This window comes from Homo sapiens, chromosome 9 (assembly GCF_000001405.40).
Source record: "Homo sapiens chromosome 9, GRCh38.p14 Primary Assembly".
Classification (NCBI taxonomy): domain Eukaryota; kingdom Metazoa; phylum Chordata; class Mammalia; order Primates; family Hominidae; genus Homo; species Homo sapiens.
In genome coordinates, this window is record NC_000009.12 from 4,982,145 (window position 1) to 5,008,980 (window position 26,836).

Below are 26,836 nucleotides of genomic sequence, written 5' to 3' on the forward strand. Positions count from 1 at the left end.
ATATCTGTAAATTGGTCCTGCCACAGATATAATAGACATTTGATAACTGTGCTAAGGGTTTTAAAATACTTTTTCACCTAATCTTCAAAATCTCTCTACAGGGGAGATTATTATCCTCATTATACTGATGAGGAAACAGAGGCTTAGAAAATCTAAATAAACTTTCCTGGCAAAAGCTGTGATTGAAAGAAACCTGGGTGGTCTGGACTCTTAAAGCGTAAGTTCTTAAACCCTTGGCCATGGATTTTCAACCGTGGCTTTATGTCAAACCACCTAAAAATGTTAAAAAGTTATAGAAGCCAATGCGCCATCTCACACTTACTGAGGCAGTCTTGTTGGGGTGGGGGGAAGGTTTGGGCATAGCAGTCAAGAATCACTGCTGCCATGCTGGCCAACACTGGAAGGACAAAACCTCAAGACACTACACACAGCCCCACAGTCAACAACTAGCTGTTAAGTTTTCCCATTAGATCTTGCCACAAAGTTTTGAATCTAAATGTGTTACCTTACAGCTCATATTTCTTGTTTCTTCATATTGTATGAATGTTTTGAAAGACTTGGTCAAATTCCTTGGAATTCTTTTCATCATTATCAAAGAATAAGGGAAATTTCCTGAAATGTTTGCCTTGAGTAGCAAATTTCTAGTGATGCCACTACCAGGAATCACATAAAGAGCTCAAAAGTTCTGTTAATACAGAGTGAAAAAAGCTCAACATTCCAGGTTAGCATTGACTTAAAATCATGTCTTAGTGATGAGGGAGGCTTTCACTTTCTGAATGACAGGAGGCAAGTTGCTTCATCTTTCTATGTGGGGAGACAGAAGATTTCTCAATTCTATAGGCTTATGAATAATATACCCCTTGTCCACCTTGTCTTCCATACCCACATCTCTAATATTAAGAAAATAACCTGCTCCCCCACAAAAATATCCTCAATATTCACCACTTCCAAATGGCTTCTCCCTGCAATTCACCAATTTCAAATGGCTTCTCCCTGCAAACAGGCTGTGGACAGTAAGAGATACCATGCCTAGTTACATAAGTATATCACTGCAAAATATAGAAACATCACTTATAATGAAAGTAATACTGTTTCAGAGTTCTAAAACAAGCATTTTCTTCCCCTCACAAAATATCACATTTCCATTTCCACAGTTGTGATGCTTTTCATTTACCCATGACGTTAAGCTCATCTTTAGCTCTTCTTCATTATGTGGGTCTGTGTTCTAGCTTTTACCTCAGTAGCAGTTTTTGTTTGCAGGAAAAAAGGAACTCTTTTGGTAGTCACTGTTTGTAATTGCGGCCTTGATATTCTAAGCCATTGAGTCACAATTAATAATTAGAAATTCTTACTAACTTTGCCCATATATTACCTATGAAGCAGTAGCCGTAGGAATGCAATTTTCCTGTAAATCCCTCCCTCTTATACAGCTCTAGTTCATTATTTAAAAGATTCAGGGTGAATTCAAGTAATTTCCTATGCTGCTATCATTTGCTTAAAGACCTTTTGCAATGGGTCTTATGTAAGAAGAAATGCAGGAGTTGCTTTGGTGAGGTTTATTTAAAGAAACCATTAAGTGCAAGACAGACCTGAAGAGCAGCATCAGTTGTGTATGGGGAAACAGGAGCTATGAATGCGTCACTTCATTTAGGTTGACAGAAAGAGGGCTAATACTTGAAAAAAATCCCTACACGATCTGGTGCCAGGCTACTTCTTTGGCCTCACCTCTTACCACTGCCCCCTCCTTCCGTGTCCTCCAGCCACAGTGACCTCTTTCCTGATCCTTGAACTTGCCAAACACTTTCCCTTCTCAAGGTCTTTGCCTTCAGGAGTCCCTCTGCCTGAAATTCTTTTCCCAGATAGTCATGGGACTGGTTCATTCTCATCCTTCAGATCTCTGCTCAAATGTCACTTATTCTAGGAAATCGTTCCTGGCCACCGTAAAATAGCACACCCCCTCCTCACTTTCTACTCCTTTTCTTTGTTATTATGTATATGGCAGCAGAAAACTATGCATTTTCTTAGTGGCAATTACACACCCCGCACATTATGCATTTAAAGCGTTGTTTGTTGTTTTGTCGCTTCCATCAGAATACAATCCAGTAGGGCAAGGAGTGTGTGGGGTCGTGTTCACCTGGTATCTCTGGGGACCTACAGCCCGGCACCTAGTAGACACTCAGTAAATATTTGAATGAATGAATGAGGCCCTTTGGCAGCCGGGAAGCCCGTCACAGCCGTTGTCTCCACCCTCTCCCGGGCTACACCAGGCCACGCCGGTAAAGTTGTTTCTCCTCTAGGAGAAACATTCGCTAGGCCTTGTTGCCAACCCGCAGGCGGCTGGGCGCTTCATCCCACCCTCACCCCTTTCCAGCCAAGGTGGCTGATGGGAGTCAGGCTCTCGAGGGCGCATTGCCACGAAACAGCGTGTGTGAGCGCGTTGTCCCCGGCCCCCGGCGCCACTTCCCCTCGGCCTAGCAGCCTGGACTGGGGAAGGACGGGTCTGCTGTACCCGGGAGGTGGAAGGAAAAGCCGAAAGCGGAGAAGTGTGCGGGAGGGGAGTCTCCGCGCGGAGGCAGCCCGGCCTCCTCCAGTGCAGGCTGCGCGCTGGGGAGCCAGCCAGGGTGAGTCACTCCCGGCCGCTTCCCTGGAGGGCGGCGGCCACACACACACCCGCCCATCTAGTGAGGGCCGGGCCCAGCGCTGGCGCCTAGCTCCAGCCGGGCACCAGCGTTTCGCGAGGCGCCGCCGCCTTAACTTCCTTGCGCGCTCACGCCCAGGGGCCGTCCCAGGAATCTCCACGCGCGCTCGCCGGCTTCCCGAGAGGCAGCTGCCCTGCGTGGCCCGCGCCTGCCGGTCCCGCGACCAGCACCGAGCGGCGCACGCGCACTGCAGGACGCGCGTCCGGCTCTCCCCCAGCCTCTATCCGGCCCGGTCTCCTGCCATTCGGGGAGACTGCAGGCCAACCGGGAGGCTGAGTTCGAAGCTAGCAGGGCGGCGAAGCCAGTGTCGCCCGCGGCGTTGAGAAGACGGTGTGGCCCCGGAGAGGGTGGAGACAACTGTGACGGGCTTCCCGGCTGCCCGAAGTGGGAGTGGTGTGGGGCTGCAGGAAGGAGAGAGGAAGAGGAGCAGAAGGGGGCAGCAGCGGACGCCGCTAACGGCCTCCCTCGGCGCTGACAGGCTGGGCCGGCGCCCGGCTCGCTTGGGTGTTCGCGTCGCCACTTCGGCTTCTCGGCCGGTCGGGCCCCTCGGCCCGGGCTTGCGGCGCGCGTCGGGGCTGAGGGCTGCTGCGGCGCAGGGAGAGGCCTGGTCCTCGCTGCCGAGGGATGTGAGTGGGAGCTGAGCCCACACTGGAGGGCCCCCGAGGGCCCAGCCTGGAGGTCGTTCAGAGCCGTGCCCGTCCCGGGGCTTCGCAGACCTTGACCCGCCGGGTAGGAGCCGCCCCTGCGGGCTCGAGGGCGCGCTCTGGTCGCCCGATCTGTGTAGCCGGTGGGTGTTATCTCTGCCTGGCTTCTGGGTGGGGGGCAGCAGCTGTCTCTCCACCCCCTTCCTACCTTTTGGTCCCGCCTGCCCCCTGCTAGTGGCAGCAAACTTCTGAGCCAGAAAAATCTTCCTCTTTAAGACGACACCTAGAACGAGTCTTGCTGGTGATATTTGCTTCCATTTGTGTCTTATAATTCCCTCGCTCCCGCCTCCTTATTCCTTTTTAAAATTTTCTAGACACTTAAACAGCCTAGAAAAAGCATTTGTTTCCCCTGGATTTATGTGGTAGTAGTTAACTGCTGCTTCTGTTTTTAGGTTTCAGAAGCAGGCAACAGGAACAAGATGTGAACTGTTTCTCTTCTGCAGAAAAAGAGGCTCTTCCTCCTCCTCCCGCGACGGTGGGTGTGCTGTCCTTTATCGCTGCAGTAAAGGCGAAGGTGTCTGGAGCTGGGAGTGCGTGCGTAGGGAAGGTTGGAAGCGTGTGAAGAGAGGCAGGGCTCATTGTTGCTTACTCTTCTGAAAATGTCAGTGCTAAACTTTTAATGTTGATCTGGGAGAGTAATTTTGGGGTGTTTTGTTGTTCGTCTTGGATCCTTTAAGAAACATTTTTTTGTTGGCTTTACACATAACGTGACTTTGCAGAGAAACGAAAAACGTTGTCCATTACCCTTTCTTCTTAAGCAGCCAGAGATTCTTAATCCTTTAAAGAGGAGTATTTCCAAGCAATAAGAGATAGCTTTTGGGAGAACACGTTAGCTATTCTTGCTGGGGTTTCTGCTACCACATTGAATGTTTCCTCATGGTTTTATCTGCCTAAGCTTGCTGTGTCGGTTGAATTTACCCAGTTTGTTTTCCAGTAATTACTAATCTGTTAGGAGAAACTCCATTTCTCTGAATGAAAGGGTAGGAGCGGCTGAGTATGGAGAAGGAAACTGGAAGTGGGAATAAGGGAAATGATTGCTTTTGGTTTCATAATAAGTTTGTACAGTGAGTTGTTGGGCTACTGCAAATAAAGATTTTGTATCCCTTCTCCAGAATGCTTGGGACCAAAAGTGTTTTGGATTTTTTTTAAAAATTTTGGAATGTTTGCATATACAAAATCAGACATCTTGAGGATGGGACCCAAGTGTAAATACGAAATTCGTTTGTTTCATATAGACCTTATTCACACAGCCACTAAGTCATTTGCAATATTTTTAATACGTCTGTGCATGAAACAAAGTTTGTATTAAGTACCTATGCGGGGAATTTTCCCCTTGTAGCATCATGTTGGTGCTCAAAATGTTTCAGATTTTGCAGCTTTTCAGATAAGGGATGATCAGCTTGTATTTTGATATAACACCCAGAACATTTGAAGATGAATAATCAATTTTTGGCCTCCCTTCCCCCATCCGCCTCACCTTATACCACTTTAAGTGTGAGAATTATTTGCTTGTACATGCATTTGTCTGTTGGTGTGTAACGTATGTACAGACTGGATGTATCCAGCACTTGCCTTAATAGTACATGTATTTACCTGAATAGGAAAGCTGCAGTACTTGCTGGCCAGAAGAGCACACCATGCTTGTTTTTGCTCTAACTGAATATCCTGTATTTGCAATTTATAGCAGTTTTAGGGACTCATTAGGGAATTTTGTGTGTGTGTGCCTTTGGTGATTTGAGACAGGTGTCTCAGATATGGGAAGGGAATATGACATTGTTTCTCTTTCACCTGGCTATTACTGAAAGGTGGGATGCTTTTGAGGCAGAATAGGAAAGTGCATTGGCTTTGGAGTGAGATCTGGATTTGAATCCTGGTGTTCTTGCCACTTAAGAGTTGCATTATTTACGGCTGGTCATGGTGGCTCACGCCTGTAATCCCAGCACTTTGGGAGGCTGAGGAAGGAGGATCACTTGAGGTGAGGAGCTTGAGACCAGCCTGGCCAACATGGTGAAACCCCATCTCTACTAAAAATACAAAAATTAGCCGGGCGTGGTGGTGCACACCTGTAATCCCAGCTACTCGGGAGGGTGAGGCAGGAGAATTGCTTGAACCTGGGAAGTGGTGGTTGCAGTGAGCCGAGATCTCACCACTGCACTCCAGGCTGGGCAACACAGCAAGACTCTGTCTAAAAAAAAAAAAAAAAAGAAAGAAAAAAAGAGTTATATTATTTACGACTCTTTTAGCTTCACTTTCTTATAAGATTGTTGTGAGAAGTGAGTAAGACACATGCAAAGTGGTAAACTGCCTGGCTGTCATAAAAGTCTTGGCTACTATCACGGCTGGGAGGCAAAGGAGATTCAGAGAAGGGCAGAATGACTGCATAAGGTGATCTGCCTGTAACTCGTGTTTCCTCCTTTCTAGTATAAAGAGATAAAGGACTTCAAGGTCTTAAACTGGTGAGGGAGTATTACAGCCTTTGTATGGAAAGGTTTGACTTTGTGTCTCTGCTTAAACCCCCATTGTGTTGCCCCTACCAATTATTGTGCTGCCCCCTTGTGGTTAACTGTGCTAAGACCTTTCTTTTGCTCTTCTCCCATTACATTTCCCACCCTTCCCCACTCCCTTTTAGACCCCTCCTCTTAGCTCCCAGTTTCCCAAACTGTGTGCCAAGGTGCCCAGAGCACCTCAGGCTTGAACTTGTGTTTTGAGTTGGTTCATGGTTTCAATATTAGATACCTACACCCGTTTCTACAATGTCATGTCTTTGTAAAGATGTATTTTCAGAGGTTGCTCCGATAAAAAGCAACTACTACATGAAAATGAATGTAGAACAGGAAATGACAGTGTGGTATTGTCCAATTTGATTCTAAGGTTTGATAAGTTCTACAGTGCTCTACACTAAGTTGTAAGGACATAACTACTAAGTAAGTTGTTCAAACCTATTTCTTTTGGCCTGGGGGTGTCGTGAAAAATTTGCTAAGACTCAGAGCTCCCTGAATGGGTTTGGAAACCTCTGCCTTAGCTTTTAGTTTGCTTTTCTGATAAAATTATTGATATAAAGCTAGTACCAGCTGATCATGGCTTAATATATTTCCTCTCCTATGTAATATGTTTATAACTTCTGCCCAGTTCTTTCATTTTAAAACTAATCCTATTGCTAACTTGTTGTACTAGTCACTTCCTGGTTTTTCCTGTACTGGTCTTCTGCTTCTACTTCTGTTCATCTCCTTAAACTCCGAATGCCCCAAGTGAAAGTTACCATTTTCTACCCCTTAATTTTCTTCTAATCATGTAGGCTTTAAATTAGGCATCATCTTTAAACTACTTCTTTCATTTACCTCTTATTCCCATTCAAAATGTCCATATTTCCTTTCTTTCTCATATCTCTGCTTTCCCTCCTTTACTGTGTGAATCCCAGGACACATTTCCTGAGCCTAGAATATTGAAAGTCATTTGAACTTCTGAGAATTCAGTGTCCCTTCCTTCTGTTTATCCTCAATAGAGATTCCACTCTAATACTCCTTATTATAGCATTCCCTTGCCCCAAAACCTTCAGTGGCTTACCATTTTCTACTTATTAAATTTTCCTGACTTTTAAGATAGTCTATTATCAATCCCTGCCCTATTTATTTAGTCTTTTGTCTAAGGATCTCTAGTCCTTAAGCTTGTAAGCTGATTTCCACACTTTCTAATAATAAGCTATGCTTCTTCTATCCTTTAATTTTTGCCCATGTTCTCCATCCCTCTTTTTTTTCCTCTATTTCTGTAGCTCTTTAGTCTTAGAACATTTTCACATGGTTTAATTATATGCCATGCTTTAGTTGTTTGATAGTTATTTCCCTAGTGTTAGCCATATCTTTTCAAGTTGATTGTGTATTCTTTGAGGAGCAGTACCTTAGATTAAAAAAAAACCACAACACACAGTGGAGAGCACATGGGCAGCATTCAAGAAATACATGTTGATTGTGTGATAAGGAACTGTAGTCACCAAACAAATATTTGTTAATACTTGCAATGTAAAAGGTACTTGGCTGTATTCAAAAGAGAAATAAAGAAATATAAAATAGGCTCCTTTCCCTAAGGACTTACAGTATAATTGGGCAGATAAGCTAAATAATAAAAGTTACAGATATTTAAGACCACTTGAGTTGAGCAGAGATTTTGCATAATAGGAAGGAACTGGTAGAGGGGGTAAGCAAAGGCAAAATATGTATATATGTATGATATGTTCAGAGAGCAGTACATAAATAACTTGACTGAAATGAAGATTTGTGTGAAAGAGTAGTAAGAAATTGTGTTAAAAATGTAGTTGGAATTTGATTATGGATGTCTTTAAATGCTAGGATGAGAAGAATGTACTTTGACCTGTAGATATGGAGAAGCTTTAAAAGTTTTGAATTGAGAAAGAGTTTGCTGAAATAAGTATTTTAGGAAAATCAAAGCAGCACCAGTGCTAGGTCTCATATGAATTGGAAAGAGAATGGTAGAAAGAGGTAGGAAAATAATTGAGCCCTGAAGTAATGAGGACTTAGAAATAAGTCAGATTGCAGAGATGTCACAAGACATTATTATGGATTGGATAAGAAGGGAGAATGGAGGGGAGAAGAGTGATTAAAGATTACCTTACCTTGAAGGTTTGCTTTTCAGTGACGGAGGAAATCAAAGAGTGTTGACTCTCCAAGACATCTTAGAACATCTAAGTCTATATGTTTTGTATATTAGGACTCAGACCAGAGAGATTTAAAAATGTGTCCAAAGTTACTCAGCTAGTTAATGACAAAGAAACTGCCGTTTGATTAATGGCAGTTACTAACAAAAATAGTTATGGCAGTGTTAGTAGCTGGTAGAGGGGATGTAGACAGTTGAGCGTATATTGTGGATATGTTGAGTTTGCGGTGGCCGTGGGATGGGCAAGTGAAAATTGATAGCATACAGTGGGACATATGACTAGAATTTGTTAGCGAAGTTAAGGCTGGTGCTGTGGTACTTAAGAGAAAAGAGTGGGATTGCCCATAATTAGCGGGTGGGTGAAAGGAGAGGAATGGGTAAAGGAGACAAAGAAAAAAACAGTATGAGAGGCAAATTAGTGGATAGGTTAGGAGGCGGAATGATCAACATGTTGATCATTGGCAAGAAATGAGAAGAATCAGATCCAAAAAAAGGTCTTAAAAAGATGTATTCGTGTTTTTCCTAATAAGAAATCTATAAAAACAGAAGAAAATTGCTTATACTTTCCCTACGTGGAAATAACCACTGTTAATATTTTGTTCTCTCCGGTTTAACAAAAGACCTTTGGATTTGACAGTTGGGTGATCAGTGGAGACTTTTCCAAAGCTCTCCATCACTAGGACTAAGGATGAGAATTTTAGGCATAATAAAACCTAGGAGATATTTTTCAACAGATTGTCATTCGTCTGTATCGTCTTATATATCACACTGTCCAGGTACTATTCTTCCTGTGTGCATTGGTTCTGTGTTTTTTTCTGAATGATAGAAGGTTAGACAAGCCATCTCTGGGTGCTTTTGTGCTGGTAAAATTTGAATAAAGTGATAAAATATTTGTTTCTAAAAGGAAGGAGAAATTCTTGGTCGATAACTTATAAATCTGAGGGTTGAATGATTGATGAAATTAGGGGTACTGGAAAGAACAAAGAGAAGCATTATTTATTTTGAAGCTTTTCTGTATAGTTACAAAGGGTTAACTAGGTTAGAATGGTCCATGGGCTGTTTACTTTGCTTGCATGTTTATTTTGATCTTCCCAAGAACATTCTTCTGTTCATCTTTTTAGTATGTTATTGGAAACAGAGTACTCATTAGTTCTTACTAAGTGGTTTTAGTTTAATAAATTATGATTATGAAATAAAATGCTATTAGGTAATATTTTTATAATATAAAGGGCCATGTGATGTGAGTAAGTGCACTGTTTTGGAAATCAGGGGATAAGGGACTGACCCTGCTCTCAGCATGGTATATGATTTCAGGCAACTCACGTAATCAGTGAGTCTTGTCTATTGAGGGAATGGACTAAATCTTTTCTAGAAAATTTAAAAAGGTGGGATCACATGGTAAAATGTGTATAAAGTTTAAAAAGGAAATGGTTTACCAATGTTTATGACAAAAACCAGCAAACTCTTTCCCACCCCCCCACCCCACATCTCCTTTTCTAGTCTCTAATTCCTGTACACCAGGCAACCACCTGTCCTCTGTACTTTGCCGTTTTCACCTTTATAATGAATGAATTGTTTAGCATCCCCTCTAAAGCCTCTCCATTCAGTTGTGTAGAAGAGCTCATCCCCTTTGCCTTCAAGGGCTTTACCATTATATTTCTCTCCTCTTTTTCTTGCCTTCTCAATTCTTCCCTCTACTGGATTATTTCCATCAGCATTACTCTGATTGCTATTGCTGTGTAACAGAAACTACCCAAAACTTAGTGATTTAAAACAACTACTTTATTAGGCTCACAGATACCATGGGTCAGTAATTGAGACAGGGCACACCAGGGATGACTTTGTTTTTGCTCCACAATGGCTACTAGGACATGAGTTGGGAAGAATTGCCAGCCAGGGGTGACTTGAAGGCAAAGGACTGGAATCATCTGGAGGTGTCTTCACTCACATGATGGGTAGTTGATGCTGGCTCTTGACTGGGATGTTAGCTGGGCTGTTAACTGGAGCATGTACATGTGGCCTGGATTTCCTCACAATATGGTGGCTTCAGGGTGGTCACCTTTCATAGTGGTGAGTAGAGAATTAAAAGTGAGTGTGTCTCAGCATAAATCTTTTATGATTTAGCCTTGGTAGCTGCACAGTATAACTTCTGCCATGTCCTACTGGTTGTAAGGGTCAGAAGCCTGTCCAGATTTGATGGGGGAGTGGCAAGTTCACACTGCAGAAGAAAAACATGTGAGATGGGAAATAGTGTTATGGCCATCTTTGGACAATTATTAATACTATTGCCATAGTTTGCCATTTTGCCAAACTTCACATCCCTCCTGTATCTGAAATACACGCAAAATACACTGAGCTTCTCCTCAAAGGTCCCTAATTCACATCCCATCATGACAGTAACTCAGAGTCCAGTATCTCATCATATAAATCAGGTCCAGGTACAGAATAGTTTTCTTGGGTATGGTTAATTGGATATGGTTCTTCTTGAACTGAGGACCCATGAAGAGACAGTTTATATGTCCCCTGCATACTTTACAAAATGGAAAAGGCACAGGTTATCTGCAGTAGACATTCCTCCTCAAGAAGCATGCAAGGTAGGCACAGTCTGTAGCAATTCTGCAACCTCACTGGGCACATGTTGCCAGTTCCTTGATTAGGTCTCAGTCCTGCTTCCTGGAAGTCATTCTTAATAGGACATAGGCTTCTTCTGTTTTTGGGTTTACCTTCTGAATTATTTATCTCCCCCACCCCTGCACCCAACCCATATAAATTGCTTTGTATTTGTAAGAGTAGCTTTCTGAGCTTGCTTCCTGCCTGTAGTGCTCCAGAGTCCAAAGGCCCCCTTTTATATAGCAACTGTCCCTTTCATTCCAAGCTAATACAACTCCTTTAAAAACTTTGTGGACTTCCTGTGTGTAAGTTTATAATCTGTACTGCCATACCCACAAATCTCTTTTGAGAGGAACTCTTTCCTCCCCTAAGCTCTGTGTGAGTCTGCTGTGGGACAACACCCTTAAGATCCTTAGATAATATTTCGTCTGAAAGGATCTATGAGGTACTGATTTAGATCTTAAGAAAGGATCTTATAATCACACTCTAGATTGGATCTTTGCTCTGAGGCCCTTTTTATTTGACACTTTGCTGGCTGAAAAGATTGTTCTGAGTCCATTACATCTCCTTGAAATTCTACTCAAAAAATGAATAGCTTATTCTTTAGTTCATCTCTCTGTTCTCTCAATTATAAGGGCAGCTAGAAGAAGCCAAATTGCTTTAACTTCCTGCTGAGAATCTCCTTAATTCATTAGGTCAGGTATGTATTTTATTTTCCATGTTAATGTAGGTGACAGTTTTGCTAAACTTTGCCCTAGTATGTAACAAGGGTGTCCTCTTATTCAGCTTTCACTATCATTTCTCTCACTTTGCTTGAAGTCCTCACTGACAGTCTCCTTGAGGGCTCTTAGGCTCCCATGAAGTTTCCTCAAGACCCTTTACATGTGTGAACACAAAGGGTCCTTATCTGTTCCTGGCTATATAGCAGGTCCTTGAATAACTGTCATTTCTTCATAACGTTGATAAGAAAAAAATGGATTCCTGGCTGGGGCCACTGTTTGTGTGGAGTTTGGACATTCTCCCCACGTCTGTGTGGGTTTTTCCGGGTGCTCCAATTTCCTCCCACATTCCAAAGATGCATATGTTAGTGGATCGGTGTGTCTAAATGGTCTCAGACTGAGTGATCATGTATGGATGAGTGTGCCTTGCAGTGGGTGATGTCCTGTCTAGGGTTGGTTCCCACCTTGTGCCTTGAGTTGCTAGGATAGGCTCTAGCCACTCGTGACTGAACTGAATTGGGTTAATAATTATCCTACTTGTTTTTATTAGTCTTTCTTAAATGTGTGTATAGCTCACATTTATTTCAGTGTTTAATAATCAGAGTGTTTGGAATCTTTACTTAGAAGTTTGATGATGTTTTTGTGGCCATAAATATGCCATAGGAACTTCCTTATCTCAATTAGCCTATGGAAAAATGGATTTTGTTACACATTGTTTCACTTAAAGTCACAGTTTCCAAGAACCTATTGAAGACAGTGAGGATTAACTGTACTAGAACTGTTTCCTAACCCACTGGTTCTTATCAGAATTACCTAAAGGACTTATTGAAACACAAATTGCCGCTGGGCCCCACCCCCAGAGTTTGTTTCATTAGCTCTGGAGTGGGACTTGAGGATTTGCATCTGTGAGTTCCCAGGTGATCTGATAATGTTGATCTGGGGCCTAGATTGTGAGAATTACTGATTTAAACCAGGGATTGGCAAGATTTTTCTATTAAGGATCATAAATAAAATATTTTAGACTTTGTGGGCAAGATTGTTTCTCTTGCACCTACTCAATTCCGCCTTTGTGGTGCAAAAGCAGTTATAGACAATACGTAAATGAACAGACGTGGCTCATGGCTGTGTTCTCATAAAGCTTTATTTACATAACAGGCAGCTGGCTAAATTTGGTATGTGTGAACTGTGCTCTGCCAATTCCCAATTTAAATCATTACTTGACTCCACATCTCTTCAAGCTATGGCCCCATTTTTCACTCCCCTTTGGAACAAAACTCTCTGAGAGTTGTCTGTATTTGTCTCTTTTTATTCTTTCATAAAAAAATTATCTATTTTTTGAACACATTTAAATGTCTTAGAATTCAAAAAGTAGTAAATATCTTTGTACATTTGTCAGGGCGTGTGTGTGTGTGTGACTATAACTAAAGATTAAGTAGAAGAGGAGTTGCTGATTCAAAAGTGGTATATGTTACTAAGTTCAACAAATATTGCCAAATTGACATAGAAATACCAAGTTATGCTTTTCTACACCTTTACTAACATTGTGTTTTCAGATGACTTGATTGTTGCCAACTTGAGACGTGAAAAATAGAATCTCATTATAATTTTAATTTGCTTTTTATTCTCCTTTTTTAGGGAACTCTTCACTCATATCTTGGCCCACTTTCTATTGGATTTGTGGTCCTTTTACTTTGCTTTGTGGGAGCTCTTATACTAAGGAAGATAGCTTTGAGTTTGCGAAATGAGTTGTTTTCCCTAGGTTGTCTCTTTATCTTTTTGATTCTGTAGATAGTGTGATTTTGTTGTTGTGCATCTAGGTAGGTTCCTTCTAACCCTGAAATTATATTTTGAGATTCTCCCTTGTTTTCTTGTTCCATCTGGAATTTATACTGATGCAAGATATAAGATGGGACGCAACTTTTTTCCCCTAGATGGTTGTCCAGTTTCAATACTATTTGTCAGATAATCCTTCTTTTCTCTGCTGCTGTGAAATGCTGGTGTTTTAAATTGTGTATGTAGTTGGATCTATTTCTGGACTTTGTTTCATTCTAAAAATGGCTCCTCTGAAACCATATTGTGAGTTCTTGGGTAGTGAACATTTCTATTTATTTGTTTCCAAGTCCTGTATAATATTTATTAGCATATGGGAGGCATTCAAGTACTTGAAAATAAAATGAATAAATCAAGCATTTAGGAATAGAAGCAGATCTTTTTGCCAATTATTCATTTTAGTTATTCTATTTAATTCTCTATTTCTGATTTTAAACTTGAATTTAACCTTGGTTTTCCATTTTAGTTTTACCTTTTTTTTAAACTTTATTGTGAAGTATTAAGTTATTTTTTGTACTTACTGAATGGGCATTTGCTAACTTATGTGTCTGCTCTTATTAGTCTATTTTTGGCCTCAAATTGTTAAAAATTCACAGTATAGTTTTATTTGTATCAAATTTGCTACTGAGGGAAGCTTGTCATTTCATAATGGCAATCCATAGGATAGGTCAAGTCATTTGAGATTGGAACCATTAAGGATAAGTTCATTTAACATTGAATTATTAGATCTGTGGTTAATTGGCCAGGTTAGAGAAGACAGAATTACAGGGAAGTCTGGATTTTACAACTTATTATTTTAGAGGGTCAAATTTAGAATAATATTTTTAAGCTTTTTAAGTAGAAGTATATGGATCACCTGAGGTCAGGAGTTCACCACCAGCCTGACTAACATGGTGAAACCCTGTCTCTACTAAATACAAAAAAATAGCCAGGTGTGGTGGTGCATGCCTGTAATCTGAGCTACTTGGGAGGCTGAGACAGGAGAATCGCTTGTACCTGGGAGGCAGAGGTTGCAGTGAGCTGAGATCGTGCCATTGCACTCTAGCCTGGGCAACAAGAGTGAAACTCTGTCTCAAAAAATAAATAAATAAATAAATAAAAATAAATACATAAATAGAAGTATACTATTCTGATTCTCTTATTTATATGTATAATTTATTTTTTTAAATACATGAGGTATTGTAGATTTTTTGGTTTTTTTGAGGAGGGGCGGGGGTGATGTGAAATATAGTTTTCATTGCATCAGATCTTCAGTTGTAATGATATTGCTGGAATCCACCATTTAGGACCCTGTCTTGTTAAAAAAAAATTATCCTTGCCTTCACCCCTACCCCTCCCTGCCACAGACTTTTAAAGGTAAGTATTCTGCGATAATTGGATTATATTTACTATTATGAAAATTTAAAATTATTAGAAGTAAAATGAAATATACCTCCATTGTAGTAAGTTTGATTCACAGTGCCTCTGGTTATGGTGGTCAGTAAAAGTAACACTGTATTAGGAACAGTCTTCATGGTGGGAGTTCTCTCCTTTTACTCTTCTGTTAGTTTGTTCTTTTTTTTTTTTTTTTTTTTTGAGATGGTTTCACTGTCACTCAGGCTGGAGGACAGTGGCTCGATCACGGCTCACTGCAGCCTTGCCTTCCCTGGGGTCCAGTGATCCTCCTACCTCAGCCTCCTGAGTAGCTGGCACTGCAGGCGAGTGCCACTAGGCCTGGCTAATTTTTATATTTTTTTTTGTAGAGATGGGGTTTCACCGTGTCACTCAGTCTGGTCTTGAACTCCTGGGCTCCAGCAATCTTTCTGCATCAGCCTCCCAAAGTGCTGGGATTATGGTTCTGGAGCCACCGCGCATGGCCTGTTAGTCTGTTCTTGCATTGCTATAAAGAAATACCTGAGGCTGAGTAATTTATAAAGAAAAGAGATTTAATTGGCTCATGGTTCTGCAGGCTTACAAGCATGGGGCTGACATTTGCTCAGCTTCTGGGGAGTCCTCCGGGAGCTTTTACTCATGGTCAAAAGCTAAGAGGGAGCAGGAATATCACATTTCAAGAGCTGGAGCAAAAGAGAATGTGGGGAAGGTGCACACACTTTTAAACAGCCAAATCTTGCAAGAACTCAGTATCTTCAGGACAGCACCAAGGGGGATGTTGCTAAACCATTCATGAGAAATCCACCCCCATGATCAAGTCACCTCCCACCAGGCCTCACCTCCAACATTGGGGATTACAGTGCAACACATGAAATTTAAAGGGGACAACATCCAAACTGTATCAACCTTGCTGTACCCCTCAGCCTCATTTTATAGGCAACAATTGAATATATTGGTTTTATAAAGGTTTGATATGGAAAGATTCATTAGGAGTGGATTTTAGGACTTGGGGAATGACTCAGAGAAGAAAATAGTGCATGATAGTATAAGTCTATCTGATTGATGAGTAACTGGAAATCCTTCCAAAACATAATGCTTCAGTGTCTGCAGAATTGTTTCATTTCCATGTTTATGTATTTCTTATTGTTTCCTTGTTTATCCATAGGTGCTTAATTTTTTTTTAATCTGAATGCATTATGATAATCTTTAAATAATTATTTCAGAGGAATATCTGAAATATTCAGTGTTCTTCTAGCATGGCAGTATTTTAAAAATCATTATGAGCTTAAATTCATACTGATTTAAACAACTTCTAGATTTTTTTGAATATCAATAGCAGAGGGTAGTTTTAAATATTTCACGAGCAGAATTAATTAAATTTCCTGTGCAATTTTATTTTTTATAGACAAACTCGTCACTTCTTAAAATCTTTTAAAAATGTCTTGGTAATACAGGCTTGGAATATGATGGTATTGAAATGAGATCTTAAGGGAAAAAAAACTCCAACGGGTTTTTTTGTTGTTGTTGTTGAGATGGAGTCTTGCTCTGTCACCCAGGCTGGAGTGCAGTGGCATTATCTCAGCTCACTGCAACTTCTGCCTCCCAGATTCAAGCAATTCTCCTACCTCAGCCTCCCGAGTAACTGGGATTATAGGCGCGCACCACCACGCCCAGCTAATTTTTGTATTTTTAGTAGAGACGGGGTTTCACCATGTTGGTCAGGCTGGTCTCGAACTCCTGACCTCGTGATCCGCCCGCCTTGGCCTCCCAAAGTGCTGGGATTACAGGCATGAGCCACCATGCCCGGCCAAAAACTCCAACTTTTAGAGGCCTATTTACAGCACTTGTCCCATATTTGTTCACACTTTTTCTGTATGTGTGTTGTGAATTATAAATCTGGCTTTTCCTACAAATGTGGCTTTTCCTGTGTAGTCATCATTAAGCATGATTCTAAGAAGTAGCTCAAAATCTCCTAAGACCAAAAACCACAAAAAACAAAAAAAAAAACAACAAAAAACCAAAACCAGAAAAGGGATACATTTTGCAGAATAATTTATATTTTCTTCTCTTCATGGCATCAGTTTTCTCAGGAGTTCTTTTTTTGAGATGGAGTCTCCCTCTGTCACCCAGGCTGTAGTGCAGTGGTGCGATCTGCAAGCTCCGCCTCCCGGGTTCACGCCATTCTCCTGCCTCAGCCTCCGGAGTAGCTGGGACTACAGGTGCCCGCCACCACGCCCGGCTATTTTTTTTTTTGTATTTTCAGTAGAGACGGGGTTTCACCGTGTTAGCCAGGATGGTCTCGATCTCCTGACCTTGTGATCCACCTGCCTCGGCCTCCCAAAGTGCTGGGATTACAGGCGTGAGCCACCGCACCCGGGCTCAGGAGGTCTTTTAAGCTTTTGCCTGTCATGTGTGTACTTCTGACGCTGGCCCAAGGTAAAATGATTACATTTGACTTCGGTAGCCCTTAAATGTATGGCTGTTCTTAATCTTTTCTAAAGCCTAAAAGTTGAATTAGTATTCATCTTAGATTTCTTGTTTCTTAAGTGAAAGAATCATGACATTGTATTAAAATATCTTATTTGCATGTATTTTATATACTGTTTTAATAGGCAGTAGTAGTATACAAGCTTTGACCAAATGTCTCTTCATATAAAAAATTCAAGTGAATAAAAACAGTCATTTAAAAATGACATTAGTCAAAGGGGCAAAAAAGATTACAAATGCTTATTGTGATTGACAGAACTTGCTTAACATATTAGGGTTCTCTAGAAGGACAGAACTAATAGGATATATATATGAGTTTATTAAATATTAACTTAAATGATCACAAGGTCCCACAATAGGCTGTCTGCAAGCTTGAGGAGCAAGGAGAGCCAGTTCAAGTCTCAAAACTGAAGAACTTGGAGTCTGATGTTCAAGGGCAGGAAGCGTCTTGGCTAATCCACCCATCTTGGCCTCCCAAAGTGCTAGGATTACAGGCGTGAGCCCCCGTGCCTGGTGTACATCATTTTTAATATCTTTATAGTATTCTGTTGGCTAAGTTGCCACAATTTATCAGACCCCTTTAATGTCATTAATTTTTTCCCAATATTTAGACTTGTTTCATAGAATTATTAGATATGCATGCTACTACTCCTGTCCTTTTTCAAAGGACAATTATTAGATATTCTTGTTTTCCTCATATCTTTGCCAACACTGGGTATTGGCATTCTTCTTGTTTACCAGTCAGCTAAGGAAGCTAAGGAAGAAACAATATCTCATTTTTATGTACTTTTCTCTGATTCTTAATTATGTTGACCATGTTTTCATTTCTTTTGTGAAATGCCTATTTATGTTCATTTTCATATTAAATTGTAAGAGTTACTTGTATAAATATATTAAACCTTTGTAGTATATATTTTTTCTGTTTTTTTTTAAAGTTTTGATTATAGTGTTTATAATATGCAGTCAAATTTACCCATCTTTTATTTCCTCTATCATTTTTCACTTAGATGTGGGGTTTAGAAAGGAGGTACATAATGTGACAGAGTTTTTGGTATAGAAATAACTGACATAGTTAGATATAAAACATACCAAGGAAATAGTCGGAAATGTCCAATTTCGAATGTGTAAGGAGACCAGTAAGAAAATCATGAAGAACAGCTAACAGCAGTAATTTTTAAAAGGGTATTTACAAACACTTGAAAATGTTTATGTAGTTTAAAGGAATGATTCAAATATAAAGAGAAGCGTAACATAAAAATGAAATAAAGGCATATATATAGTCATTGTGTAGATGGTTTTCTAGTAACAGTTATACCAAGTTTGAAATGATTTTTAGGCTTTGTTATGCCAACTTTTAGGAGTTTTCTTTTTAAACTTTTTGAGCTTATGTTTCATCATGGCCAATTTTTATAAATTTTCCCTATATGCTCAAAACATTTTTTTAGTGGAAGGTTTTAATACGTCTGTAATTTCTCCGGTGTCTTAAAAATAATTAGTTTGTGGAGCTCTTTGTGTATTGGAGATACCATCTTCTTGTTTGATATATTTGTATATGTATTAAGTAAGAACTGGATAAAGAAGGTGGTTGGGATATGTATAAATATCAGGTAAGAACTTGATAACGTATTGGTTGGTTTGCATATGAAAAGTTGCCCTCACTGTCAGGTTCTTTCCTGTTTCTAGGAATTGGCTAGCCCTGGAAGGACTGCCCCTTCCAGGGTCAGCAAATTCCCAAGATAGCAAAGCATCAAAAATACAGAATAAAAAGACATGCTTAGTAGAGTATATAGAAATACAATTGGTTTTGTTTATTTTGTGATGTATCCTGTGATACTGGTAAATTCATTTATAAGTTCTAGTAATTTTTTGGTAGAATCCTCAGCATTTTTGATAAATACAATCATGTCTGCAAATAAAAAGTTTTATTTCTTTCATTTCAATCTCTATGTCTTTTATTTCATTTTCTTACCAGATTGCATTAGGTAGAACCTCCAGTGTTGAATAGAAATGGTGGTGGTGAGCATCCTTTCCTTGTTCCTGATTTTATGGAGAAAGCATTCAATATGTAATCATTAAGTAATAGAAGGTTGTTTGTAGATGATCTTTATTTTATTGAGGAAATTCCCTTCTTTTTCTAATTTATTTCCAGAAATTTTATCATGAATTGGTGTTGACTTTTGTCAAATGCTTTTCCTGCAACAATTGGGACGATCTTATGGTTTTGCTCCATTATTCTGTTAATGAGGTAAATTGCATTGATTCATTTTCAAATGTCAAAGCAACCAGTATGACTGGAATAAAACCCACTTGGTGATGGTGTTCTGACCTTTTTATATGCTCCTGGTTCTATGTTCTATTATTTTGTTATGTTCATGAGAAACATTTGCCTGTAATTTTTTTTTTTTTTTATGATGTGTTTTTGCCAGGTTTTGGTATTAGGATAATTCTGGCCACATAAAATGATTTGGAAATTATTTCTGCCCCTCTGTTTTCTGTAAGAGTTTATACAGAATTGGTACTATTTTTTCCTTAAATAGTTGACAGACTTTCCCAGGGAAGTCACTTTGGCCAAGAGTTTTCTTTGTGGGTATGTTTTTAATGAAGAATTCAATTTATTGAAGAGATATGATACTATTCAAGGTTTCTGTTTCTTCCTATGTCAGTTTTGGTAATTTTTGTCTTTCAAGGAATTTGTTCATCAAATCTAACTTGTTAAAGTCATTGGCATGAAGTTGCTCCTATCTTTTTATATCCACTTACTGTTTATAAAATCTGTAGCGATATCCTGCTTTTTTTACATCATATGGGGCACATATTGGTAATATGTGTTCTTTTCTGTTTGTAAATTGATCATCTTAGAGGTTTATCAACTTTTTAAATCTTTTCTAAAAACAAAGTTTTGGTTTGATTGATTTTCTTTATTGTTTTATATATTATTAATTTTTGTTCTTTATTCTTTCTTCACTCTCTGGTTTTGTTTTCTAGCTACCTAGGAAGCTTACATAATTAATTTCATATCTTTCTTCTTTTCCATCATAAGCATTTATAGCTATACATTCTCTCTAACCACTATTTTAGCTGTATTCCCCCAAATTTTATTGTTTATTATCATTCAGGTGAAAATAATTTCTGATTTCCCTTTTAATTTCTTCTTCGAACCTGGGATTATTTAGAACTATGTTAATTTTGCAATACTGGGAGATTTTCTAGATAGTTTTTTGATATTTATTTCTAATTCAATTTTGCTATGGCCAAGAATATAATTCATATTAATTCAGTCTTTTCAAATGTTTGAGAATTGGTTTATGGACCAACCTATGGTATAACTTAGTGAATGTTCTGTGAGCACTTGAAAAGGATGTATGTTCTGCAGTTGTTGGGCATTGTGTTCTGTAAATGTCAGTTATATTTAGTTGGTTGATGTTTAGGTCTTCATTATTTTTACTGATTAAAAAAATTTTTTTTGTTAATTCCTGAGAAATGAGTATTGAAATTTTTAGTGTAATAGTTGTTTTATTTCCCTCTTTACATTTTTGCTTCATGTAATTGGAAACTATTATTGTGTGCATATATATTTAAGAAGAGTAATTTATAAATCTTCTATGATTAGTGTTTTTATGTTCTGCTTACAAGAGGTCACATTGGTCTGTTTTCCATCTTAAATTAATATTTGTGTACCGTATGAAGTAGATAGAAGTTAAGGTTATTTTTTGCCCCATATGAATAACCAGTTGACTAAGCCACATGTTTTGAAATGACCAATATTTCTTCACTGAAATGCAATGGCACATCTGTTCCAAATTAGGTAACTGTATGTGAGTATGTTTTTTTGGACTCTATTCTGTTCCATTTGTCTATTTGTTCATTTTTGTGCTAATACCAATCTGCTTGTTCTATCTTTATGATAAATCTTGATGTCTGATAATATAAATCTTTAGTTTGCTCTTCAAGATTGTTTTGGCTATTGTAAATCCTTTGTTTTTCACAGACTTTAGGATCAACTTGTAAATTTCCACAAAAACTGCTAGGATTTTAATTGGAAGTGGGTTGAATCTATAGATTAATTTGGAAAAGAACCGACATCTGAACCATACTGAGTTTTTCTGTATTCTTATATCAGCATGGTCTATCCCTCTCTTATTTAGCTAGCATTTATTTTTTGTAGAAATGTTTTACAGTTTTTATTGCACAGTTTTTACAGATATTTCCATAGATGTATTCCTAGGTATTTGATTTTTTGTTACTATTGTAAATGATACTATTTTTAAATGTTCATTTAAAAAATTGTTTGCTTCTGACATACAGAAATGCAGTTGATTTTTATATATTGGTCTTGCATCTTGTGACTTTGCTAAATTCACTCAGTGATTGGTAGATTCTTTTAAATTTCCTACATATACAGACATGTCCTCTATGAATACTGACAATTTTACTTATCCTTTCTAATCATCATAACTTTTATTTAGTTTTCTTGCCTTATTGCACTAGCCACAATGTCCACTATGGTATTGAATAGAAATCATGATTTTAGACATGATTGTTACGTTTTTGAACTCTAGAAGAACAAGATCAATATTTTACCATTAGGTATATTGTTTTTTTACTGTTACCCTTTATCAGAGTGAGGAAGTTTGCTTTTATTCCTAGTTTGAGATTTTAAAATCATGAACATTGGTTAAATTTTATTAGGAGTAGTTTCTGCATCTATTGAAATGATCATATGGTGTGTTTTCTCATTGTGCTAATAATGTAAAATATATTGACTATTTAAAAAATTTTTTTCTAAATTACATAAAAATTGTATATATGGTGTACAACATGACATTTTGTTATATGTATACATTGCAGAATGGCAAAATCAGTCTAATTAACATATGTATCACCTCACATACTTATCTTTTGTGGTGAGAACACTTAAAATCTACTCTTAGCAATTTTCAAGTATACGATATATTGTTATTGGTAATCACCATGATGTACAATAGATCTCTTCAGTTTACTCCTCCTATCTAACAGAAATTTCGTATCCTTTGACCAACGTCTCCCATTCCTCCTAATGGGACCCTCAGCCTCTGGTAACTGCTGTTCTACTTACTCTCTGCTTCTATGATTTCTACTTTTTTAGATTCTATGGATCAGTGAGATCATACAGTTTTGTCTTTCTGTGCCTAGCTTTATTTCACTTAATATAATGTCTTCCAGGTTCATCCATGTTGTTGTAAATGACAAGATTTTCTTCTTTTTTTAAGGCTGAATTATATTCTATTGTGTACATATGCTGTATTTTCTTTATCAGTTCATCTGTTGATGGACACTTAGGTTGATTCTTTATCTTGGCTATTAAGAATAATGCTGCAATGAGCATGGGAGTGTAGATATTGCTTTGACATATTATTTTTAGTTCCAATACCCAGAAGTGGGATTGCTAAATCATATGGTAGTTCCATTTTAATTTTTTGAGGAACCTCCATTCATTTTCCATAGTGACTGTAAAAATTTACATTTTCCCACCAAGAGTATACAAGAGTTTCTTTTTCTCCACACACTCACCAATGCTTGTTATCCTTATATCTTTTTGATAAGGCTCATTGTAACAGGCATGAGGTGAGATCTCACTATGGTTTTAATTTGCATTTAGTGATGTTGAACGTTTTTTCATGAACATGTTGGCCATTTACATATTGTCTTTTTTTTTTTTTTTTGAGACAGAGTCTTGCTCTGTTGCCTAGGCTGAAGTGCAGTGGTGTGATCATAGCTCACTGCAGCCTTGACCTCCCAAGCGCAAGTGATCCTCCTCCTTCAGCCTCTTGAGTAGTTGGGACTGCAGGCATGTGCCAGCATGCCTGGCTAATTTTTTTTTTTTTTTTTTTTTTTTTTTTTTTTTTTTTTTTTTTTTTTTTAGGTACAGGGTCTCACTGTGTTGCCCAGGCTGGTCTTGAACTCCTGGTCTCAAGTAATCCTCCCACCTTGGCCTCCCAAAGTTTTGGGATTACAGGGTTGAGCCACTGCACCCAGTCTGTATTGTCCTTTGAGGAATATCTGTTCCGGTCCTTTGCCCATTTTTAAATCAGGTTATTTGTTTTCTTGCTTTTGAGTTGTTTGCATTTCTTATCTATTTTGGATATTAACTCCTTATCATATGGATGGCTTGAAAATATTTTCTCCTGTTTTATAGGTTGTCCCTTCACTCTGTTAATTGTTTCCCTTGCTGTGTACAAGTTTTTAAATCTGGTATAATGATTGATTTCTAAATGTTAACTTTGCACTCCTGGGGGTAAATTCATTTGGTCAAGATGTATTCTTTTAAAGTGTTATTGGATTTAATTTGCTAGTATTTTGTTTAGCATTTTTTTCCAAATATGTTTATGAGAGAGATTCCAGTGTAATTTTTTTCCTTTTCATGTCCTTACATATTTTGGTATCATGTTTATACTCTCATTTTAAGAATGTGGGTAAGTGTTTTTTATTTTCTATTTCCTGAGAGAGTTTGTATAAGCTCAATGTTTCTTCCTCAGACATTTGGAAAAATTTACCAGCAAAGTCACTGGGCATTACATTTTCTATGTGGAAAAGTTTTAAATGGTATATTCTGAGGGCTCTGTTCTGTTCCATTGATCTATATCTCTGTTTTGCTACCAGTACCATGCTGTTTTGGTTACTGTAGCCTTGTAGTATAGTTTGAAGTCAGGTAGCGTGATGCCTCCAGCTTTGTTCTTTTGGCTTAGGATTGACCTGGCGATGCAGGCTCTTTTTTGGTTCCATATGAACTTTAAAGTAGTTTTTTCCAATTCTGTGAAGAAAGTCATTGGTAGCTTGATGGGGATGGCATTGAATCTATAAATGACCTTGGGCAGTATGGCCATTTTCACGATATTGATTCTTCCTACCCATGAGCATGGAATGTTCTTCCATTTGTTTGTATCCTCTTTTATTTCATTGAGCAGTGGTTTGTAGTTCTCCTTGAAGAGGTCCTTCACATCCCTTGTAAGTTGGATTCCTAGGTATTTTATTCTCTTTGAAGCAATTGTGAACGGGAGTTCACTCATGATTTGGCTCTCTGTGTGTTATTGGTGTATAAGAATGCTTGTGATTTTTGTACATTGATTTTGTATGCTGAGACTTTGCTGAAGTTGCTTATCAGCTTAAGGAGATTTTGGGCTGAGACAATGGGGTTTTCTAGATATACAATCATGGTATATTCAATTTTTAAATTACTGTATTTGTTTGTTCTCATATTGCTATAAAGAGCTATCTGAGACTGGGTAGTTTTTAAAGAAAAGTTGTTTAATTGACTCATGGTTCCATAGGCTGTACACAAGGCATGGCTGGGAAGGCCTCAGGAAATTTACAATCATGGTAGAAGGTGAAGGGGAAAAAAGTACATCTTCATACAGCAACAGGAAAGAGACAGCAAAGGACGACATGCTGCAAAAATTTAAATAACCAGATCTCATGCAAACTCACTCACTATCATGAGACTAGCAAAGCGTAAATCCATCCCATGACCCAGTCACCTCTCACCAGGCCACTCCTCTAACACTGAAGATCATAATTCAACATGAGATTTGGGTGGGGACACAGAACCAAACCATATCAATTATATATAGAATTATTCAAATTTTATATTTCTTCTTGTGCTAGTTTAGGTAAATTGTTTTAAAAGGAACTTCATTTGTTTTTAAATTGGAGAATATTCCTGTTGTCTTTTACATGTTTCAATATTGTAAGCTCTGGTAATAATGTCTACTTTTTAATTCCCGATATTGATAATTTATGTTTTATCTTCTTTTTTTCTTGATCAGTCTTTCTAGTGTTTTATCAATTTTAATGCTTTTAAAAAGCCAACGTTTTACTTTGCTTTTCTTTATTTTATTTTTATTTTTCTCTGATTTCTGCTCTTAAGTACTTTCATTTTTATGGTTTTTGGCTTAATTTGTTGCAACTTCTTGAAATGAAAATTTATTTAATAACATTGTTCAGCCTTTCTTCTCGTCTTGTGTATGAATTTAAGATTATGAATATCTTAGTATACACTTTTACTGCGTTTTACTCATTTTCATTATTGATTCAAAGTATTTTTAAAGTTATTCTTTGTACCATGGGTTCTATGAAAATATATTGATTAATTTACAAATATATGCGGGTTTCTAGTTATTTTTCTGTATATGCTGTGGTACTTTTGTCAGTGGTTATATTTTCCATAAGAGATTTTTAATTTAGGTGCCATTGGCAAATTTCCATTAATTCAAATGCAGAACTTCACATTTTTCAATGCATACGTGAGTTTTTTTTGTTGAGGTATTAAGAATAGCATAAATTTATAAAATATTAAGTAATCATTGAATGCAAAATATGTCCTATTTTGCAACTTAATATACTTTTATTAGGTTGACGCTAAAGTAATTGCGTTTTTTACTCATACTTTAATGGCAAAAACCACAATTACTTTTGCACCAGTCTAATAATGAGAATTATTATTATTATTATATTGTCTTTTTTTTTTTTGGAGTGGAGTCTCACTCTGTCACCCAGGCTGAACTGCAGTGGTGTGATATCTGAGCCTTGGCTCACTGCAATCTCTGCCTCCCAGGTTCAAGCAATTCTCCTATCTCAGCCTCCCAAGTAGCTGGGATTACAGGCACGTGCCACCACGCCTGGCTAATTTTTGTGTTTTCACTGGAGAACAGGGTCTCACTACATTGGCCTGGCTGGCCTGGAATTCCTGACCTCAAATGATCCCCCCGCCTCGGCCTCCCAAAGTGCTGGGATTACAGGCATGAGCCACCGCGCCTGGCCCTAATAATGAGAATTCTTATCAAACTGTTTACACAGAATAACATGAGTGGGTAATGGTGAAGCTGAGTTTCACATTTTTATGCGATATTCTTCAGTGTTGCTATTTGTTCAGTACTTTTAAGAATTATATAAATTTTTTATAGTCTATACATAAAGTCAATATTATGGGTCCCAAATATATAAAATGTTTGCTTGTTCCATTGTTTATGTTTTGAATACAAATTATATTTTGTATGATTTCATTAATAATTTGTTGAGAATTTTATGGCCTAACATGTGGTCTACTTTCTAAAATATTCCAGCTTCATTTGAAAAGGATATGCATTCTTCAGTTGTTAGGTGTTTGCTTTTGATTGCTTGTATTTCTCAGTCAAATGTAGGAAGTGGAGATTAAGAAAAGGGCTGGCACTTTTGGTGATTGAGGAGGAGAAAGTATGAGATAGTTGTCTTGGATAGTGGAAGAGTAAATGTTCTAAAGAAATATAAAATGATAGTTGAGCAGCACTAAGGGCCCATTTGAGTATGAATCTAAAGAGGGACCAATCTGAATGCATGTGTTTTCATCAGTGATTTTTATATGTGTGGGTAAAAGCTCTGAGTAGACAGAGATAAACTGAACTCTTTTAGAGTTTCTTTGTTATCTTTGGTGTTTGGATCCTTTGCTTTGATTTGTATCGGTACAGTTTTTAAAAAATTAAATGTTATCTCCTCTCAGCAGATCTTTTTAACATGAACCCAGCATCTTTAACACCAATAAAATTTCTTCTATTATTTTTCTTCCCTGTGTTTTCATTCGTCCTCCATCTAGAGCTTCTCTTTAGAATTGTACTCCCTGGATTGATCCTCTTATTTCTTACTTTTATGCTCATAATATTTTTTTCTTTCTGTCTGTCTCTTTCTCTTTCTGAGTCTAGGACCTGGGAGTTTGTCTTGACTGTCTTCCAAATTATGA

At 38.3% G+C, this 26,836-nt stretch overlaps 2 protein-coding genes across 9 annotated transcripts in view, besides 8 other annotated features; one reads left to right on the top strand and one right to left on the bottom strand.

Moving 5' to 3' along the window:
- Window positions 1,081-1,210: a silencer, noted in NCBI's record as "silent region_19749". NCBI's record gives its function as "represses an Ori minimal core promoter by ATAC-STARR-seq in GM12878 lymphoblastoid cells {active_cell/tissue: GM12878}" and the evidence as "EXISTENCE:reporter gene assay evidence [ECO:0000049][PMID:35858748]".
- Window positions 2,179-3,012: an enhancer, noted in NCBI's record as "H3K27ac hESC enhancer chr9:4984323-4985156 (GRCh37/hg19 assembly coordinates)". NCBI's record gives its function as "activates a minimal SCP1, AML or CMV promoter by ChIP-STARR-seq in naive H9 embryonic stem cells {active_cell/tissue: H9 hESC(naive)}" and the evidence as "EXISTENCE:reporter gene assay evidence [ECO:0000049][PMID:30033119]".
- Window positions 2,179-3,080: a biological region, named in NCBI's record as "H3K27ac hESC enhancer GRCh37_chr9:4984323-4985156".
- Window positions 2,246-26,836, top strand: part of JAK2 (Janus kinase 2) — a 145,559-nt gene continuing 120,968 nt past the window's right edge. For 2 of the 8 annotated variants that reach the window (NM_004972.4, NM_001322198.2), the window contains exons 1-2: window positions 3,128-3,486; window positions 3,796-3,878. The gene's annotated coding sequence lies outside the window, so the exon portion shown is untranslated. Of the gene's footprint in view, window positions 2,622-2,941; window positions 3,487-3,795; window positions 3,879-26,836 lie in introns of those variants that run through there. The other 6 variants (NR_169763.1, NM_001322194.2, NM_001322199.2 and 3 more) reach the window with 6 other exon arrangements.
- Window positions 2,661-2,710: a silencer, noted in NCBI's record as "silent region_19750". NCBI's record gives its function as "represses an Ori minimal core promoter by ATAC-STARR-seq in GM12878 lymphoblastoid cells {active_cell/tissue: GM12878}" and the evidence as "EXISTENCE:reporter gene assay evidence [ECO:0000049][PMID:35858748]".
- Window positions 2,751-2,830: a silencer, noted in NCBI's record as "silent region_19751". NCBI's record gives its function as "represses an Ori minimal core promoter by ATAC-STARR-seq in GM12878 lymphoblastoid cells {active_cell/tissue: GM12878}" and the evidence as "EXISTENCE:reporter gene assay evidence [ECO:0000049][PMID:35858748]".
- Window positions 2,941-3,080: an enhancer, noted in NCBI's record as "active region_28155". NCBI's record gives its function as "activates an Ori minimal core promoter by ATAC-STARR-seq in GM12878 lymphoblastoid cells {active_cell/tissue: GM12878}" and the evidence as "EXISTENCE:reporter gene assay evidence [ECO:0000049][PMID:35858748]".
- Window positions 3,221-3,550: a silencer, noted in NCBI's record as "silent region_19752". NCBI's record gives its function as "represses an Ori minimal core promoter by ATAC-STARR-seq in GM12878 lymphoblastoid cells {active_cell/tissue: GM12878}" and the evidence as "EXISTENCE:reporter gene assay evidence [ECO:0000049][PMID:35858748]".
- Window positions 3,881-3,930: an enhancer, noted in NCBI's record as "active region_28156". NCBI's record gives its function as "activates an Ori minimal core promoter by ATAC-STARR-seq in GM12878 lymphoblastoid cells {active_cell/tissue: GM12878}" and the evidence as "EXISTENCE:reporter gene assay evidence [ECO:0000049][PMID:35858748]".
- INSL6 (insulin like 6) overlaps window positions 9,832-26,836 on the bottom strand; it is a 193,664-nt gene continuing 176,659 nt past the window's right edge. Inside the window, exon 3 of the mRNA XM_011517702.4 lies at window positions 9,832-10,289. Within this exon, the coding sequence (XP_011516004.1) occupies window positions 10,285-10,289 (5 nt within the window). The 3' untranslated portion in view covers window positions 9,832-10,284. The remainder of the gene's footprint in view (window positions 10,290-26,836) is intronic.